This window comes from Homo sapiens, chromosome 5 (assembly GCF_000001405.40).
Source record: "Homo sapiens chromosome 5, GRCh38.p14 Primary Assembly".
In the NCBI taxonomy this organism is placed as follows: domain Eukaryota; kingdom Metazoa; phylum Chordata; class Mammalia; order Primates; family Hominidae; genus Homo; species Homo sapiens.
Genome location: NC_000005.10, coordinates 115,738,769 through 115,756,750, shown reverse-complemented (window position 1 = coordinate 115,756,750; position 17,982 = coordinate 115,738,769). Strand labels below are relative to the sequence as shown.

Sequence of the window (17,982 nt, the reverse complement as noted above, 5' to 3'; positions counted from 1 at the left end):
GTTCACAATAAGTAACTTAAATAAATGACAATAAACATGTAATGAATGCTGGGTAAGCAGCAGGAAGTATGAAGGCCTGTTGCAAACTCGAAAGGGTATGCCCCTTCTAAAGGACAGCTACTGTCTATCTCCTGTATTTTTGGCAGATAAATATGTAGACCAAATGATGTCAGACATTTTGATTTTCAAGAAATATAGATATCTCAATTTGTATATAAATATTACCAATTTTAAATTTTTCTGCTTTATTGAGGTACACTTAATATAAAATAAATGCATATATTTAACTTGATGAGATTTGATGAACTTGTACATCCATGAAACCATCACCACAATTAAAATACAGAACATTTTCATTGTCCGGAAAGTTTTTTTATGCCTCTCTGTCATCTCTCCCTCCCTCTACCCCATCTCTGTAAGCTACCACCTTGTTTTCTGTAAGTATAGACTGGTTTTCATTTTCTAGAATATTATATAAATGGAATCAAATAGTGTATACTTTTATTTTCTGGCCTCTTTCACTCAACATAATGACCTTGATATTCAATTATATTAAGTGCCTGATTTGTTTATTTTTATTGCTGAATATTGTTTTATTGGATGAATATACCACAACTTGTTTATCATTCATCAGTTGATGGATATTTGGGTTGTTTCTAGTTTTGGGCAATTATAAACAATGCTGCTGTGAATATTTATGTGCAAGTATTTGTGGGAAGTACGTTTTCATTTCCCTTTAATTCTCCCAATGTTTAAACATTGCTAACTAATATAAAACATTTTTAACCCAAGTAGACAAATAGTGAATGGTGTACACAAAACACTACTGCACACTGGATCCAGCCTGTGGCTGGCCAGTTTGCCATGGATATGGAGGTTCTGTGGTTTTCTCTTAGAAACACAAATATTGAGTTATGCTCATTGGCTACCCTGACCCTTTAAGACTTGGCCCCAGATTTCATTCACCATCCAGAGTTTAAGTTATGTGGAGGCCATGATAAGAAGCCATAATTTATGGCCTCCATTGTGCTTCTCTGTCTGGGGATCCTTGGCAGGGCCAATGGTAAGGGTTTGACCTTTCCATAGCAAGGTTGGGCTCTAGGGATGGTGAGAAGGTATGTTGGCACATCTTCTCCAATGGACTAGAGCTGGCAGAACAGTTGTTGTAAGTGTCCTTGGGGTGCTTCTGTCTAGGCCCCCATTACACCATGAAGCAAGCAGATTGGAAGTCAGGTAGGCTTCTGTCATTTCTTCCTGGGTGGTCTAGCTGTTCCCTTAGCTGCTCCAGGAAACCTCCTGATAGGGCCTTGCACTGAGATTTCCAGGAAGGCATGAATACAGGGACCCTTTATTCTCTGTCCTGAAAAGGAGGAAAAACTACATAAATGGTTTGGGAAATTAAGCCCTATTTATTTCTTATCTTTCTTTTCTATCAAACGCAGAGAAAGGGGAAAACAGTTGGCTCTGGAAGGTGGCAGAATTCTCTGGGATAGCTGCAAAAGAGAAATAATAGAAGAAGGTCAGTTTGGGCCCAGGTAGGGGATGGTAGTCTTGTAAGAACTCCAGTCCCTTGCCTGAGATGCTGGCAGGCACTCACCAGCAGGAATGAGGAGCACTCCTCACTAGCATGGCCATGTGAAGAGAGCTGCCCCATGGGGCACTGGCAGGGGGCATCACTGTAGGAGAGGATGGAAATGGAAGACCAGGGAGGTAGACAAAAGAGCTGGTTTCATACACATGGGACACCCCCAACAGACTTCAAAAACAATTTTGGGTGAATTTGAAGGGGCTGGGCTTCTGCAGAACAAGTGTGGATAGATCCAGAAATATACAGCATTATCTTCAGTACTTTGCTTCTGTGTTTATTGATTGATTGATTGAGACAGGGTCTCCCTCTCACTCAGGCTGGAGTGCAGTGATGTGAATCATAGCTCACTGCGGCCTCGACCTCCTGGGCTCAAGTGATCCTCCCACCTCAGCATCTTGAGTAGCTAGGACCACAGGCATTTGCCACCACACTTGGCTAATTTTTTTTCTTAGAGATGGGGTCTCCCTATGTTTCCCAGTCTTGTTTAAAAAAACTGAGCTTTATTTTTTCTCTTATAATAGTAGTACATGCTCGTAAAAATTCCAGAAAATTCAGAAAAGTATGAATAAGAATATAAAAGTTACCTGAGCTTTTACTGTGTGGAGGTAGCCACTGTTAACTTTTGAATAATAGCTTCCTGAATTTTTAAATATCCAGGGGAAATAGCAAACACACACACACACACACACGCACACATGCACACACACACACTCTCTCTCTCTATATATATGTATATATACACACACACATATGAGCATACATAGCTATACATACACAAATCTAATGATAAAGAGAAAATCTTATTCTTTTATTCTATTTACACTCCTCTCAGGGCCAGGCATTGGCTAGCACCAAAGCTTTCAAAAAATCAGGCAGGAGAAAGGCTGAACAGCTATTGGGATGGTGGAAGCCCGAATGATCCTCAAACCCTCAGAGAAGTCAGCAAAAACTCACAAAGGGCTTGCTGGGAATGAATTTATTGTGAAAGGACTGAGTTTTTACATCTGGGTTTTATAAGATAAAACAAGATCAGCACACAAGTACACAGAAGTCTAGAGGCACATAGAAACATGAAGAAGAAAACCTCAGGGAAGGTGTGAATCTAATCCAGTGGTCTCCAATCTTTTTGGCATCAGAGACCAGTTTTGTGGAAGACAATTTTTCCACAGACTAGAGTGGAGGGATGGCTTCAGGGTGATCGACCTCAGATAATCAGGCATTAGTTAGATTCTCATAAGGAGTGCCTAGATCCCTGGCACTTCACAATAGGGTTTGTGCTTCTATGAGAATCTAATGCCAGCCGCTGATCTAACAGGCGGTGGAACCCAAGTGGTAATGCTCACCTGCCGCTCACTTCTTGCTGTGTGACCCAGTTCCTTACAGGCCATGGACTGATACCAGTCTATGACCTGGGGAATGGGTACCCCTGATCTAATCCACATTTCTTCCACAGTAAAGCCATTTCATGCTTATGGATAGGAAGAATCGATATTGTTAAAATGGCGATACTGTCCAAAGCAATTTATAGATTCAATTCTATTCCCTTCAAATTACCAATGGCATTCTTCACATAATTTTAAAAAATTATTTTAATATATGGAATAAAAGAAAAGCCTGAATAGCCAAGGCAATCCTAACCAAAAAGAACAAATCTTGAGCCATCACATTGCTACAAACTATACTTCAAAGTATACTTCAAACTATTGTACAGAGCTACAGTAACCAAAACAGCATGAAAGTATTTGAAGTATACTTTGAATAGAGAGCCCAGAAATAACGCCACATACCTATGACCATCTGATCTTCCACATTGCTTGACAAAAACAAGCAATGGGGAAAGAACTCTTCATTCAATAAATGATCCTGGGACAACTGGCTAGCCATACACAGAAGACTGAAACTGGACCCCTAGCTTATATGACATACAAAAATCAATTCAAGATGGATTAAAGACTTAAATGTAAAATCTAAAACTATAAAAACCCTGGAAGATAATCTAGGAAATATCATTCTGGACACAGGAAGGACTTCACAAATGTTTCATGACAAAGACACCAAAAGTAATTGCAACAAAAGCCAAAATTGACAAATGGGATCTAATTAAACTAAAGATTCTGCACAGCAAAATAAACTGTCAACAAAGTAAACAACCTACATAATGGGAGAAGATATTTGCAAACCATGCATCCAAAAAAGTTCTAATATCCAGACTCTATAGGGAACTTAAACAAATTTACAAGCAAAAAACAAACAACCCATTAAAAAGTGGGCAAAGGACATTATCAGGTACTTTTCAAAAGAAGACATACATGTAGCCAAGAAGCATATGAAAAAATACTCAACATCACTAATTATTAGATAAATACAAATCAAAACCACAATGAGATACCATCCTGCACTAGTTAGAATTGGTATTATAAACAGTCAAAAAACAACAGATGCTGGCAAAGTTGCAGAAAAAAGGGAACACTTATACACTGTTGATGGGAGTGTAAATTAGTTAAGCCATTGTGAAAAGCAGTGTGGCAATCCCTCAAAGAACTTAAAACAGAATTACCATTTGACCTAGCAATTCCACTATTGGCTACATACCCAAAGGAATATGAATAGTTCTACCATAAAGACACATGAATGTGTATGTTCACGGCAGCACTATTCACAATAGCAAAGACATGGAATCAACCTAAATACTCATCAATGATAGACTGGATAAAGAAAATGTGGTGTGTGTATACACACACACACACACACACACACAGGCACCCACACACCCTATGGAATACTATGTAGGCATAAAAAGAATGAGATCATGTACTTTGCAGCAATATGGATGCAGCTGGAGGCGATTATCCTAAGCAAACTAACACAGGAACAGAAAATCAAATGCTGCATGTTCTCACTTATAAGTGGGAGCTACACAACGAGAACACATGGATACCAGGAGGGAAACAAGAGACATCGAAGGCCTACTTGAGAGTGGAGGGTGGGAGGAGGGAGAGGATCAGAAAAAAATACCTATTGGGTACTATGCTTATCACATGGGTAATGAAATTATCTGTACACCAAACCCCCGTGACATGCAGTTTACCTATATAACAAACCTGCACATGTACCCCTGAACCTAAAATAAAAGTTAGAAAAATAAAATAAAAGCTGTTGGAATTTTAAATTATTTTAGGCCTTAATGGAATGTGATTATGGGATTTGAGTCATGTAACAGACGTATATAACCTAGGCAGCTGTAACCTCTTTTTCTCTGGTTATACATTAGCCTTTTCCTTTACCTATATTATTTTGTAAAATGTTTTTAAAGACTAAAGTTTCCAGAAATGACTCATTTACTCTTAACTATTGATCTTCATTGTAGATTAATTTCCCTCTTTCTTCTCTTAACGCAAAGACGTCATGATTATCACATTGTCTAAGATGGAATGTTAAATATACTCTTTAAAATGGTGGGGGTGGGGAGGGGAACAAGCTATAACAAATCAAATTGCTGTAACTCATAAACCAGCCTTGTATGGAAATATAATCCTGTTAAATATCCTTGTTTTCTGCTGATATAAGTAAAACCTTGCCTTTTCAATTTCTGAGCACTGACCCCATTTCTCTGGAGTCTGTATTTTCCAAATGGCCATCCTCAGTTTTGCACTTGAATAAACTCATTTAAACTAGATTCTTATCCTTTCCGTTATTTCAGATTGACATTTTGGTGACCCAGATGGGACCCATAGTGAGCTTCCTACATTGACTCTTTCTGCTTTCTTTACAGTCCAGCATGCTGGTACCAGCATGAACTGTTTCCATCCAACTGACTTTTGCTGGAGTTTGTGGGAAGCCCTTGGTAAGGCTCCTCTCTGGTTTCAAATCTCCCTGGCTTAGGTGAAATGCAGACTGTATTCAAGCAACCTGATTCCATACCGGATGGAGCTGGAATTGAAGCTTAACTTTAAAGCTTTAAGGTAGTAGTTTCATTTTTTTATCTCTCTAGAGATTCTGTTGTTTGCAAGTTTGTGGTTTTAATCATCTTTGAGGTTAAGATTTTGTTCGTCTTACTTGCTAAAGTTTGCAACCTTTTCTCTAGTTCAAAATCTGGTTTCTCTTTAATAGGAGAAAGTAAATGTCTATGGATTAAGCAAAATTGTGATTTAAATTGGTGAGGTTTTGAAGTTTGGTTCAATTTGGCAAATTAGAATTCTTCTTTTGAGTGACCAATAATTAACAAAAGACCTTTATTAGGATGTGGTAAGTCCTGAAGAAAAGGGACACTGTTCCTCCCAGCCAAAGGCACCTTAGGCAACCAAGGACTTGTGCAAGTTTCAGAGCTTATCAATCGAGACAAGAAATGGTCCCACAGGGAATTCCCAAAGAAGAAAATACAGGGAAATTTGCTTAAACTTGTGGGCACATATAAGGGACTGATCTCCCAGTGCCTTAAGCACACTGAATTCCTGTTTTTCATTGAGACACATAAAAGGGAAGAACCAACCCAAGGGTGACACCTTGGGGAGCTAGTCCCTTAAGCAGTACACTCAGTCCAAAACACCTTTCCCTTTTAGCTTTTAGTCCTTAAGAGAAAAGTGCAAATGATGGACAATCAGCCATCTAAAACCAAGTCTTCCTTGAGGAAAAATCCACCTTTAGAGACTCCAGCTAGATTCATGTACAATACTTACGGCACCACACCTTGTCATTATTTTTAAAAATGGTCCCATATAACTTGGAAGAACCAAAACTTCAATGGCTGAAATGGGATACCTTTGAAAAACTTCAACTAATTTACTTGCAAGTTCAAATTTAAAAAAGCTGACTAGAATAAAACAGAGTAATTGGGAATGTCATTTTCAATGGTATTTGAATGCATCCAAAAGAGGTTCTGATAAAGTTATTTCTTTGCAGGAAAAAAAACCCAGAAGACTGTCTAAAACAATTTCTGAATTTAAAATGGTTGCTGAAGCTTCTCCTCCCTCAGAAGATTTCCCTTCTCCTCCCTCGGGTCCTTTTTGTCTCTATCCTTTACTGTCTAAATTACCTTGCCCTGCTATGGAATTTAAGTATTTGAGCTTATGACCCTGGTATTTCTGATTTATATCAACTAGTTTACATGTTAGCTTCAAAAACAAGGCTAAAAATGAGGCTTGAATAGATAAAGCCCGTTGGCAAAACCCCTAGAGGATTTCCATAAATGTTCAAAAGAAGACTGCAGGAATGCCCGTGACACTGAAAGGCTCTACTTGCAACCATTTCTTTAGTCTTCTAAAAGGGAGTTGATTGGAATAAAATACAGCGATGTCAACAACATCTAGGTGAGTCAGTGGTGTTATATTTTGAAAGATTTGAAAAGACTTTTAGACAATATTCAGGTTTATCTGAGGTGAGTTCTGCTAATCATCAAAATGAGACTCTCCTGAACTCCAAGTTTATAAATGGGCTACGCAAAAAATTAGCTCTAATAGTAAAGAGACATTGCCCTAGCTGGGCTACTTCTCACACTCACAATTTGATTAATCTTGCTGAAAAGTTGTCTTGTACTTTAATTAAAAATGAAAAAGGGAAAGAGACTAGACCAAAAAATAAAGCTAAGAAGATTATGAATCTGCAGCTGAAATAATTACTCACCCAGTCTGGACTGCCAAAATATACCCAATAAACCTCTGGACAGATCTAACCCTCCAAGTTGCAATTATTGAAAAAAATGGCCACTTTAAAAAAAGATTGCTGAAAATTAACAGAAGGAAAAACAACAGCCAAAGGAGGAAAAGATAAAATAGGAGTGCTCCAAGGAACTTAGAGAGATCTTTACTTATCTCCTTACTAATACTCTGGGAGAAATATAAATCTCATCTTATTACAAGGTCTCAATCCTCAGAGTAAACACTTGGTCCAAATCATAGGTGTCACAAATACTCCTATCAACAAACAAGTCTCAACCTGTAGCTTTTCAACCAGGTCCCTTGCAAGTGACTCATATTTTCCTTTTGGTTCCATGAGCCACCATCCCTGTAATAGAAAGATACTTCCTGGAACTATATAAATACTCATATTTATTTTTCCTTAAAGGAGGAACTGTATTGAGAATTAGATGGTGTGGTATGCACGAGAGACTACATTATTTGTCTACTCTAGTCTTTTAAAAATGAATTCACTTTCTATCTTTTCCAAGCCATAAAGAAGTTTCCTCTTTTGAGCCAACTTATGAAAGATAATAAACTACATCACATTTTAATGACACTATTTTGGCTTTTATGAGCCAGCAGTGAAGAATTGTTTCTCAGGACTTTGAATCTGTTGTCAGTCTCGGAACTATACAGGCATCTTCATTAACCTGAGCCTCTGGATCTGACTTGTGTTAGAGAGTGTCCTCTTTGTTTAAATTTTAAGATTCTTGTTCTTAAGGGCAACCACAAGGCTCCAGGGGAAAGGAGAACCTTCTATATGGAGACTGTTTACTAACTTGTTTTATTCTGTTACACATTAAAATTATTTACCCAGAAGCTAGATACTGAACAAATCATTTTGGAGATTGTGGACCCATAATTATATCCTAACTTATATTATAGTTATTCATGTAGTTAACTCCCTTACTAAATTATATAGTCCTGGAGGGCAGAACCTTTGTCTTTTACATATGTGTCTTCTCCTTTAGCACCTAGTATAGAGTGGGGGACACAGAAGAGCAGTGTCCTTATTACAGGTTTGGACTTTAACCAGATGGGGAGTAGAAATCTGACTCCATCACTAATTGGCTGTATGACTGTTGTCTTAGTTGCCTATCTGCAAAGTGGGGAGCCAAATTCTCCTCTTCCCTTCTCCCCTCCCTCCCATCCTTTTTTCCTTTAACAAACACTTACTGAACACCTACTAAGTGCTTGGCACCATGGGATACAAGATAAAATAATGAATAACATGGAAATGGTTGTTGTATTGGACCCCTATTGACTCCAGTAGGGATGACACTATGTCTGAGAAGATGAAGAAGAGACAGTGAACAAGACATAGGGTTTACTGGGGGGATTTACATACAGGTATGGGCCTTTGGTGGCAGGCTGGTCAGGCAAACCGCTACCGTTTATAAAAAGCAGACAGTTTATATAGCATTTTCACTTAGCACCCTCCACCTAGCTACCGCAATCTAACCAAAACAAACGGCTTTGATCCCCTGTGTGGCCTGCATTGCAAGGGATGAGCCAGGGGCTCAGATGTCCTTCATAGATAAGGAGTGAATCTGGATTGGCCACTCCTAGATTCCTTAGATTGGGACACTGAGCAAATTCTTCTTAGACCATAGGGTCATTTTCAGGATGTGCTGAAGTTACTGCTATCGGGCCTGTCTGCCATACAATGGTCTTTGTTCCTTTGGAATGGTTTTAAGATTAAGAAAGATGATGAAAATGAGTACCAATGAAGTATGATGTGAGATAGATAGAGAGATAGAGAAGTAGATAGGATTGAATAGGTATTGTTCAATAAATTAATGCTGATGGGGAGAGACAAAGGGAATATAATACTTTTAAAAAATATGATTGATTACCAATAAAAGAGAAAGATAAAACAAAGAAAGAAAGAGCTAGGAAAGGAATTCAAAGAAAACTGGAGATATGGATGCAAAAGAAAATTAAATGAGAAGAAAGGGGATATGAAGAACAGGCATAAACTTAACCTAGTAGCTTGGCTGTGGTGTATCTAGAATATCATCAGGGCATAAAAATGTCACTAAATTGTAACCAAAAATATCTTGCAGTACTCTCCTCTCACTCACTGCTGGATCCTGAGAACTGCCTTTGGCTTACGGTTTAGTGCTCAGGTGTTAAGGGAGAGGAGAAAACAAGGATAACTTGGAGACTCTGAGCTTGTGTAGCTAGAAATGATGACACCATTCATATAAATAAAATGAGGCATATAAATTAGTTAGGTCTTGAGTTTGGTTTAAAACTGATGAAGTTTCAGGTCTAAATGGCTTATCTATGTAGATATGACCAATGGCTACTGGAGGTTGGAATGCAAATTGGGGAAATAATCCCTTTGTAAAAACACACCTAAACAATGCACAGTGAAGCCACAAAATGGATAACTCTTGAGGGAAATGACAGAGACAAAGCCAAAGAGAATGCACTGAATCTTGAGAGTCTTTTCCTGGATGGTAAGCTTCAGGAAAATAAGAGAAGGAAATGCTTCAATCAAAGAAAACTAGAGTTGGAGCAAGGTGGAGCAAGGTGGCGAAATAGAAAGCTCCACAGATTGCAACCCCGTGCAAAGACACCAAGTTAACAACTATCTACACAGAAAAAAAAAACATCTTCATAAGAACCAAAAATCAGATGAGCACTCACAGTACCTGGTTTTAACTTCATATTGTTGAAAGAGGCACTAAAGAGATAGAAAAAACAGTCCCAAATTGCTGACACCATCCCTCCATGCTCCCTCTGGCAGCAGCGGTGTGGTGTGGAGATCATCTCCAGCTAGGGAGGGAGAACACAGCAATTGTGAGGCATTGAACTCAGTGCTGTGTTTGAACAGAAAGGAAAACCAAACTAAACTCAGCTGGAGCCCACCCATGGAGGGAACATTTAAACCAGCCCCAGCCAGAGGGGAATCGTTAATCCCAGTGCCTGCAAACCTCTCCACCAAGGGCTACAGCACTCTGTGTATACCAGAAAACTTGAAAGGCAGTCTAGGCCATAAGGACTGATATTCTTAAGTGAGTCCTAGTGTTGAAGTAGGCTAAGAGATCATGTACCGGGGAGGGCACATGGCATACTGAGACATCAGCTGGGACAGGCAAGGAAGTGCTGGCATCACCCATTCCCTAACCCCAGGCTGCACAGCTCATGGCTCCAAAAAAGACTCCTTCCTTATGCTTGAGGATAGGAGAGGGAAGAGTGGGGAGGACCTTGTCTTGCATCTTAAATATCAGCCCAGCCACAGCAGGATAGAGTACCAATCAGAGTTGTCAGGTCCTTGTTCCAGGCCCTAGCTCCCAGATGACATTTCTAGACACACCCTGAGCCAGAAGGGAACCCACTGCCTTGAAGGAAAGGACCCAGTCCTGCAGCATTAATCACCTGCTAATTGAAGAACTCCTGGGCTCTGAATAACCAGCAGTGATACCCAGGTACTACATAGAGTTCCTTGGGTGAGCCTCTGAGAGTTGCTGGCTTCAGATGAGACTCAGCACAATACCAGCTGTGGTGGCTATGGGAGAAAACTCCCTCTGCTTGAAAAAAGCAGAGGGAAAAGTAAAGGGGTCTTTGTCTGATACCTTAGGTATCACAGCATGGCCACAGAGGGGTAGAGCTCGACTTGAGTCTTACCATTTTAGAACCTGCCCAGGGTCAGAGGGGAGCCCACTTCCCTGAAAGGTGAGTCCCAGGCCAGGCAGCATTCATGACAAATTGACTTAAGAGAACTTGGACCTTAAGGGAACATCAATAGTAGTCTTACAGTACTCCTCAAGGCCTGGGGTGGTGGTAGCTATGGGGTGAGTCTCCTGCTTTTGGAAAAAACACGGAAGAGTGGGAAGAACTGCACTGTGTGGTTTGAGCACCAGAACAGCCACAATATAATAGAGCACCAGGTAGATTTCTAAGGTTTTTGACTGTAGTCCCTAACTCCTGGATGGCACCTCTGGACCCACCTGGGGCATGGGATAGTTTACTGCCCTGAAGGGAAGGACACAGGCCTGGCTGGCCTTGACATCTGTTAATTGTAGAGCCTGGGGGCCATCAGTGAACATAGAGAGTAGCCAGGGAGTGGTTACGGTAGATCCAGCACTGTGCTGCCTTCAGTTCTGAGCCAGTGCAGTCATAGTGATGGTGGCCACAGGGGTCCTTGTGTTATTCCACCCCAAGCTTTAGATAGCTCAGAACAGAGAGAAGCCCTGTATGTTTGGGAGAAAGTAAGGGACGAGAACAAGAGTCTCTGCCTGGTAATCCAGAGAATTCTGGATGGTCCAAGACCATCAAGGTGGTACCTCCACAAGTCTGCAAGAACCACAGTGTTACTGGATTTGCAGTACTCCCTAAAGCAGGTAGAGCCTAGATCACAACACCCAAGTCCTTTCAAATATCTAGAAAGCCTTCCCAAGAAGAACTTCTATAAATAAACCAAGATGGTGAAGACTCCAATAAACTTCAATGCCCAGACACTAAAGAACATCTACTAGCATCAACACTACCAAAGAAAACATGACCACACCAAAGGGACTGCATAACTCATCAGGGACCAATCCTGGAGAAAGAGAGACATGTGACCTTTCAGACAGGAATTCTAAATAGCTGTTTAGAGGAAACTCAGAGAAATTAAAAATAAGACAGAGAATAAATTCAGAATTCTATCAGATAAATTTAACAAAGAGATTTAAATAATTAAAAAGAATCAAGCAGAAATTCTGAAGCTGAAAAATGCAATTGGCATATTTAAGAATGCATTAGAGACCTTTAATAGCAGAAATAAACAGAAGAAAGAATTAGTGAACTTGAAGACAGGTTATTTGAAAATAGTCAGTCAGAGGAGACAATACAAAAAAGAATAAAAAACAATGAAGCATGCCTACAGAATATATTATAGAAAATAATCTTAAAAGGGCAAATTTAAGAGTTATTGGTCTTAAAGAAGTGGTAGAGAAAGAGATCGGGATAGGAAGTTTAATGCAAAGGGATAATAACAAGAACTTTTCAAACACAGAAAAAGATATCAATATCCAAATACAAGAAGGTTGTAGAACACCAAGAAGTTTTCACCCAAAGAAGATAAATTCAAGGCATTTAATAATCCAGCTCCCAATGGTCAAGGACAAGGAAAGGATCCTAAAGGCAGCAAGAGTAAAGAAACAAATAACATACAATGGAGCTCCAATACATCTGGCAACAGACTTTCCAGTGGAAACCTTACAGGCCAGGAGAGAGGTGGCATTACATATTTAAAGCGTTGAAGGAAAAAAAAAAACTTTTACCCTAGAATAGTATAACTGGTGAAAATATTCTTCAAACATGAAGGAGAAATAAAGACTTTCCCAGATAAGCGAAAGCTGAGGGATTTCATCAATACCAGACCTGTCCTACAAGAAATGCTAAAGGAAGTACTTCAATCAGAAAGAAAAGGACATTAATGAGCAGTAAATAATCACCTGAAGATACAAAACTTACTGGTAAGTACATAGAAAAACACAGAGTATTGTAACACTGTAACTGTGGTGTGTAAACTACTCTTATCCTAAGTAGAAAGACTGAACAATGAACCAATAAAAATAATAACTACCACAACTTTTAAAGACATGGTCTGAACAAAAATTTATAAATAAATAGAAAAAAACAAAAAGTTAAAAAGTCAGGGGATGAAGTTAAGGTTAGAGTTTTTATTAGTTTTCTTTTTGCTTGTTTATTTATGCAAATAGTGTTAAGTTTTTATCAGGTTAAAATGATGAGTTATAAGATAGTATTTGCAGACCTCATGATAACCTCAAACAAACAAAAAACATACAATGGGTACACAAAAAATAAAAAGCAAGAAACTAAATCATATCACCAGAGAAAATTACCTTCACTAGAAGAATATAGGAAGGAAAGAAAGAAGGAAGAGGAGACCACAAAACAACCAGAAAACAGATAACAAAATGGCAGGAGTAAGTCCTTATCAATTATAACATTGAATGTAAAAAGACTAAACTCTCCAATCAAAATACATAGACTCATTGAGTGGATGAAAAAAACAAGACCCAGTGATCTGTTGCCTACAAGAAACACACTTCATCTGTAAAGACACACATAGACTGAATATAAAAGGATGGAAAAAATCTATGCCAGTGTGAATCAAAAAGGAGCAGGTGTCACTACACTTATGTGAGACAAAATAGATTTGAAGACAGAAAACTATTAAAAGAAACAAAGAAGTTCACTGTATAATAATAAAGGGGTCAATTCAGCAAGAGGATATAGCAATTTTAAATATATGTATGTGCCTAACACAGGAGCACACAGATATATAAAGCAAATATTATTAGAGCTACAGAGAGAGATAGGCTCCAATACAATAATAGCTGAGGACTTCAACACCCCTCATTCAGCATTGGACAGATCTTCCAGAGAGAAAATCAGCAAAGAAACATCAGACTTAATCTTCACTATAGACCAAATGGATCTAATAGATATTGACAGAACATTCCTCCAATGGCTGCAGAATACACATTCTTTTCCTCAGCACATGGATAATTCTCAAGGATAGACCATATATTAGGTCACAAAATAAAACATTCAAAAAAATTGAAATAATATCAGGCATTTTCTCTGACCACAATGGAGCAAAATTAGAAATCAATAACAAGAGGAATTTTGGAACCTATACAAATACATAGAAATTTAACAATGTGCTCCTGAATGACCAGTGGGTCAATGAAAGAATCAAGAAGGAAATTGAAAAATTTCTTGAAACAAGCAATGGAAACACACATACCAAAACCTATGGGATACAGCAAAAGCAATTCTGAGGGAATTTTATAGCTATAAGTGCCATAATGTCAAATAAACAATCTAAAATAAATATCTTAAAGAACTAGAAAAGCAAGAGCAAACTAAACCCCAAGTTACTGGAAGAAAAGAAATAATGAAAATCAGAGCAGAAATAAAGGAAATTGAAATGAAGAAAACAATACAAAACATCAATGAAACAAAAGTTTGTTATTTGAAAAGTTAAAAAAATTGACAAACCTTTCACCAGACAAAAAAAGAGAGAGAGAGAGATGATCCAATTAAATAAAATCAGGAATGAAAAAGGAGACATTACAAGTGATACTGCAGCAAGTCAAAGGATTACTAGTGGCTACTATGAGCAACTATATGCCAATAAATTGGAAAATCTAAAAGAAATGGACAAATTCCTAGATACATACAACATACTGAGATTAAAACAGGAAGAAATCCAAAACCTGAACATACCAATAACAAGAAATGAGATTGAAGCCATAATAAAAAGTCTCCCTGCAAATTAAAGCTCACAACCCGATGACTTCACCGCTGAATTCTACCAAACATTTAAATAAGAACTGTTACCAATCCTACTCAAACTATTCCAAGAAATAGAGGAGAGGTAATACTTCCAAACTCATTCTATGAGACCAGTATTACCCTGATACCAAAACCAAAAACACATTGAAACAAAATAAAACAAAAAACTACAGACTAATAGCTTTGATGAATATTGATGCCAAAAATCCTCAACAGAATACTACTAAACCAAATCCAACAATACATTAGAAAGATCATTCATCATGACCAAGTAGGATTTATCCTAGGCATGCAAGGATGATTCAACATAAAAAAATAAATCCACATAATACATCATATCAAAAGAATGAAGGATAAAAATGATCAATTGATCTTTTCAATTGATGCTGAAAAAGCATTTGATAAAATTCAACACTCCTTCATAATAAAACCCTCAAAAAATTGGGATAGAAGGAACATAATAAAAGCCATATATGACAGACCCACAGATATTAAATAGTATCATACTGTATGGGGAAAAACTGAAAGCCTTTCCTCTATGATTGGGAACATAACACAGATGCCCACTGTCACCACTGTTATTCATCATAGTACTGGAAGCCCTAGTTAGAGTAATCAGAGAAGATTGAAAAAAGGGCATGTGAATTGAAAAGGAAGAAGCCAAATTGTCCTTTTTTGCAGATGATATAATCTTGTATTTAAAAAAGCTAAACCTAAAGATTTCACAAGAAAGCTACTAGAACTGATAAACAAATTCAGTAAAGTTGCAGGATACAAAATCAACACACAAAAATCAGAGCATTTCTGTATGCCAAGAGTGAACAATGTAAAAAATAAAAACTAAAAAGTAATTCTATCAACAATAGCCACAGATAAAAGCAAATATCTAGGAATTAAGTTAACCAAAGAAGTGAAGGATCTCTATAATGAAAACAATAAAACACTCATGAAAGAAATTGAAGGGAACACCAAAAAATGGAAAGATATTTCATCATCATGGATTGGAAGAATCAATATTGTTACAATGTCCATGCTACCCAAAGCAATCTACAGATTCAGTGCAATCTCTATCAAAATGCCAATGACATTCTTTACAGAAATAGAAAGAACAATCCTAAAACTTATATGGAACTACTTTTGTGGACCTAGAATAACTAAAGCTATTCTTAGCAAAAAGAACAAAACTAGAAGAATCACATTACCTCGCTTCAAATTATACTACAGAGATATAGTAACCAAAACAGCATGGTACTGGTATAAAAATAGACACATAGCTCAAAGTTAAGAGAATAGAGGACCCAGAAACAAATCCACACACCTACAGTGAACTCATTTTTGAGAAAGTTGCCAAGAACATATGCTGGGGAAAAGACAGTCTCTTCAATAAATGGTGCTGGAAAACTGGATATCCATATGAAGAAGAATGAAACTAGACCCTATCTCTTGTCATATACTAAAATCAAATCAAATAAAAATGGATTAAAGACCTAAATCTAGGACTTCAAACTATGAAACTACTACAAGAAAACACTGGGGATATGTTCCAGGACATTGGTCTGGGCAAAGATTTGTTGAACAATACCCCACAAGCACAGACAACCAAAGCAAAAATGGACAAATGGGATCACATCAAGTTAAAAAGCTTTTGCACGGCAAATGATACAATAAACAAAGTGAAGAGAAAATACACAGAATGGGAGAAAATATTTGCAAACTACCAATCTGACAAGAGATTAATAAGCAGAATATACCAGCAGTTCAAACAAATCTATAGCTAAAAAATCCAATAATCTGATCAAAAAATGGGCAAAATATTTGAATACACATTTCTCAAAAGAAGACATACAAATTGTAAACAGTTATATGAAAAGTTACTCAACATCATTGATCATCAGAGAAATGCAAATCAAAACTATAATGAGATATCTCACCCCAGTTAAAATGGCTTATATCCAAAGACAGACAATAACAAATGCTGACGAGGGTGTGGAGAAAAGGGAACCCTCGTATACTGCTGGTGGGAATGTAAATTAGTTCAACTTCTATGGAGAACAACTTGGAGGTTCCTCAAGAAACTAAAAATAGAGATACCATAAGGTTCATAATCTCACAACTCAGAAGGGCCCTCCACACTCTTGGAACTGTACACCCATTAGAAACCTTAAAGTAAAGCTAATCAGAGAAGTTTCTTCCCAGAAGCATTGCATCCGTGATGTGGACAGCTTTCTTCCAAAATCACAGATTGAGAGTTCTCTGCTATCATGAGACTCGTATCTTTCAATGTGTGCTTATGCCTCTGTGAACAATGGAAATGAAAAGGGGGTCTGTTGTGTGTATTCATGGGGTATACTCCTATTTATGAAAGATTTTGCAGCCAGCCTTATACACGGACAAGCTCATGTTGCGATAGATGCAAGATGAAGGAACAATGTAGGTAAGAAATTTTAACGGCATATTTGTTGCCTAATAATCAGTCAGAAATGAAACTTTGGTCCGCTCCTCTTAAACTACATCATGGGTTAAAGAGAACATTGTCAGGCCAGGTGTGGTGTCTCACACCTGTAATCCCAGCACTTTGGGAGGCTGAAGTGAGCAGATTGCTTGAGCTCAGGAGTTTTAGACTAGCCTGGGCAACATGGTGAAATCCAGTCTCTAACCAAAAATTAGCCGGGCACGGTGGCATGCATCTGTAGTCCCAGCTACTCAGGAGGCTGAGCTGGGAGGATTGCTTGAGCCTGGGAGACAGAGGTGGCAATGAGCCGAGATTGTGCCACTGCACTCCAGCCTGTGTGACCGAGCAAGACCCTGTCAAGAAAAAAAAAAAGAGAGAGAGAGAGAGAAAATTGCCAGGACGTCTTCATTCTTTTGGATGAGCGTCATTTTTAGGTCTTCTTTTTCATGATTTAGAGTAAATTAGGTAATGATTAAAAATTAATCTCTCATGATAGCATCTCTAGCAGATTCTATAGTAAAGGCTGTGGTTACACAACAGACTTTAAATTCTGTTGTGAAAGTTATGCTAAATATTAAAATTGCTCTAGATTACTTACTGGCTAAATGGAGAAGTAGCCGTGCAGTTGCTGGCATGTCTTGTTGCCCATGGAGAAATAAATTGTATACTATGGGGATTCAGTCATAGAGGATTAATGAACAGACTGCTTGGTTAAAGTAAATAGACTGTTTACCCAGCTCATTCTTTGATCTGTTTAATTTTAGTTGCTTTGGTTAATGGGTATCCCAGCTAAAGAGCATACTCCAAACCCTTGGTATTATTCTGCTGATAGTCATAGTAGTCTCCCTGGTGTGTTGTATTCTCTTAAAAGCCTTAAATGTTTGCACGCAGCCATCTCTAGAATGTCAAATTGTCTCTTTTCAACTGGAATGACGAGCTGAAAG

At 38.1% G+C, this 17,982-nt stretch overlaps 1 long non-coding RNA gene across 1 annotated transcript; it reads right to left on the bottom strand.

The window, feature by feature from the left end:
- Window positions 1–207: 207 nt before the first annotated feature.
- On the bottom strand, window positions 208–17,707 carry LOC124901048 (uncharacterized). The gene is made up of 2 exons (XR_007058907.1): window positions 17,637–17,707; window positions 208–1,360 (listed from the first exon to the last, which is right to left on the bottom strand). It is a non-coding gene; the product is annotated as an uncharacterized LOC124901048 (long non-coding RNA).
- Between the last annotated feature and the right edge of the window lie 275 nt (window positions 17,708–17,982).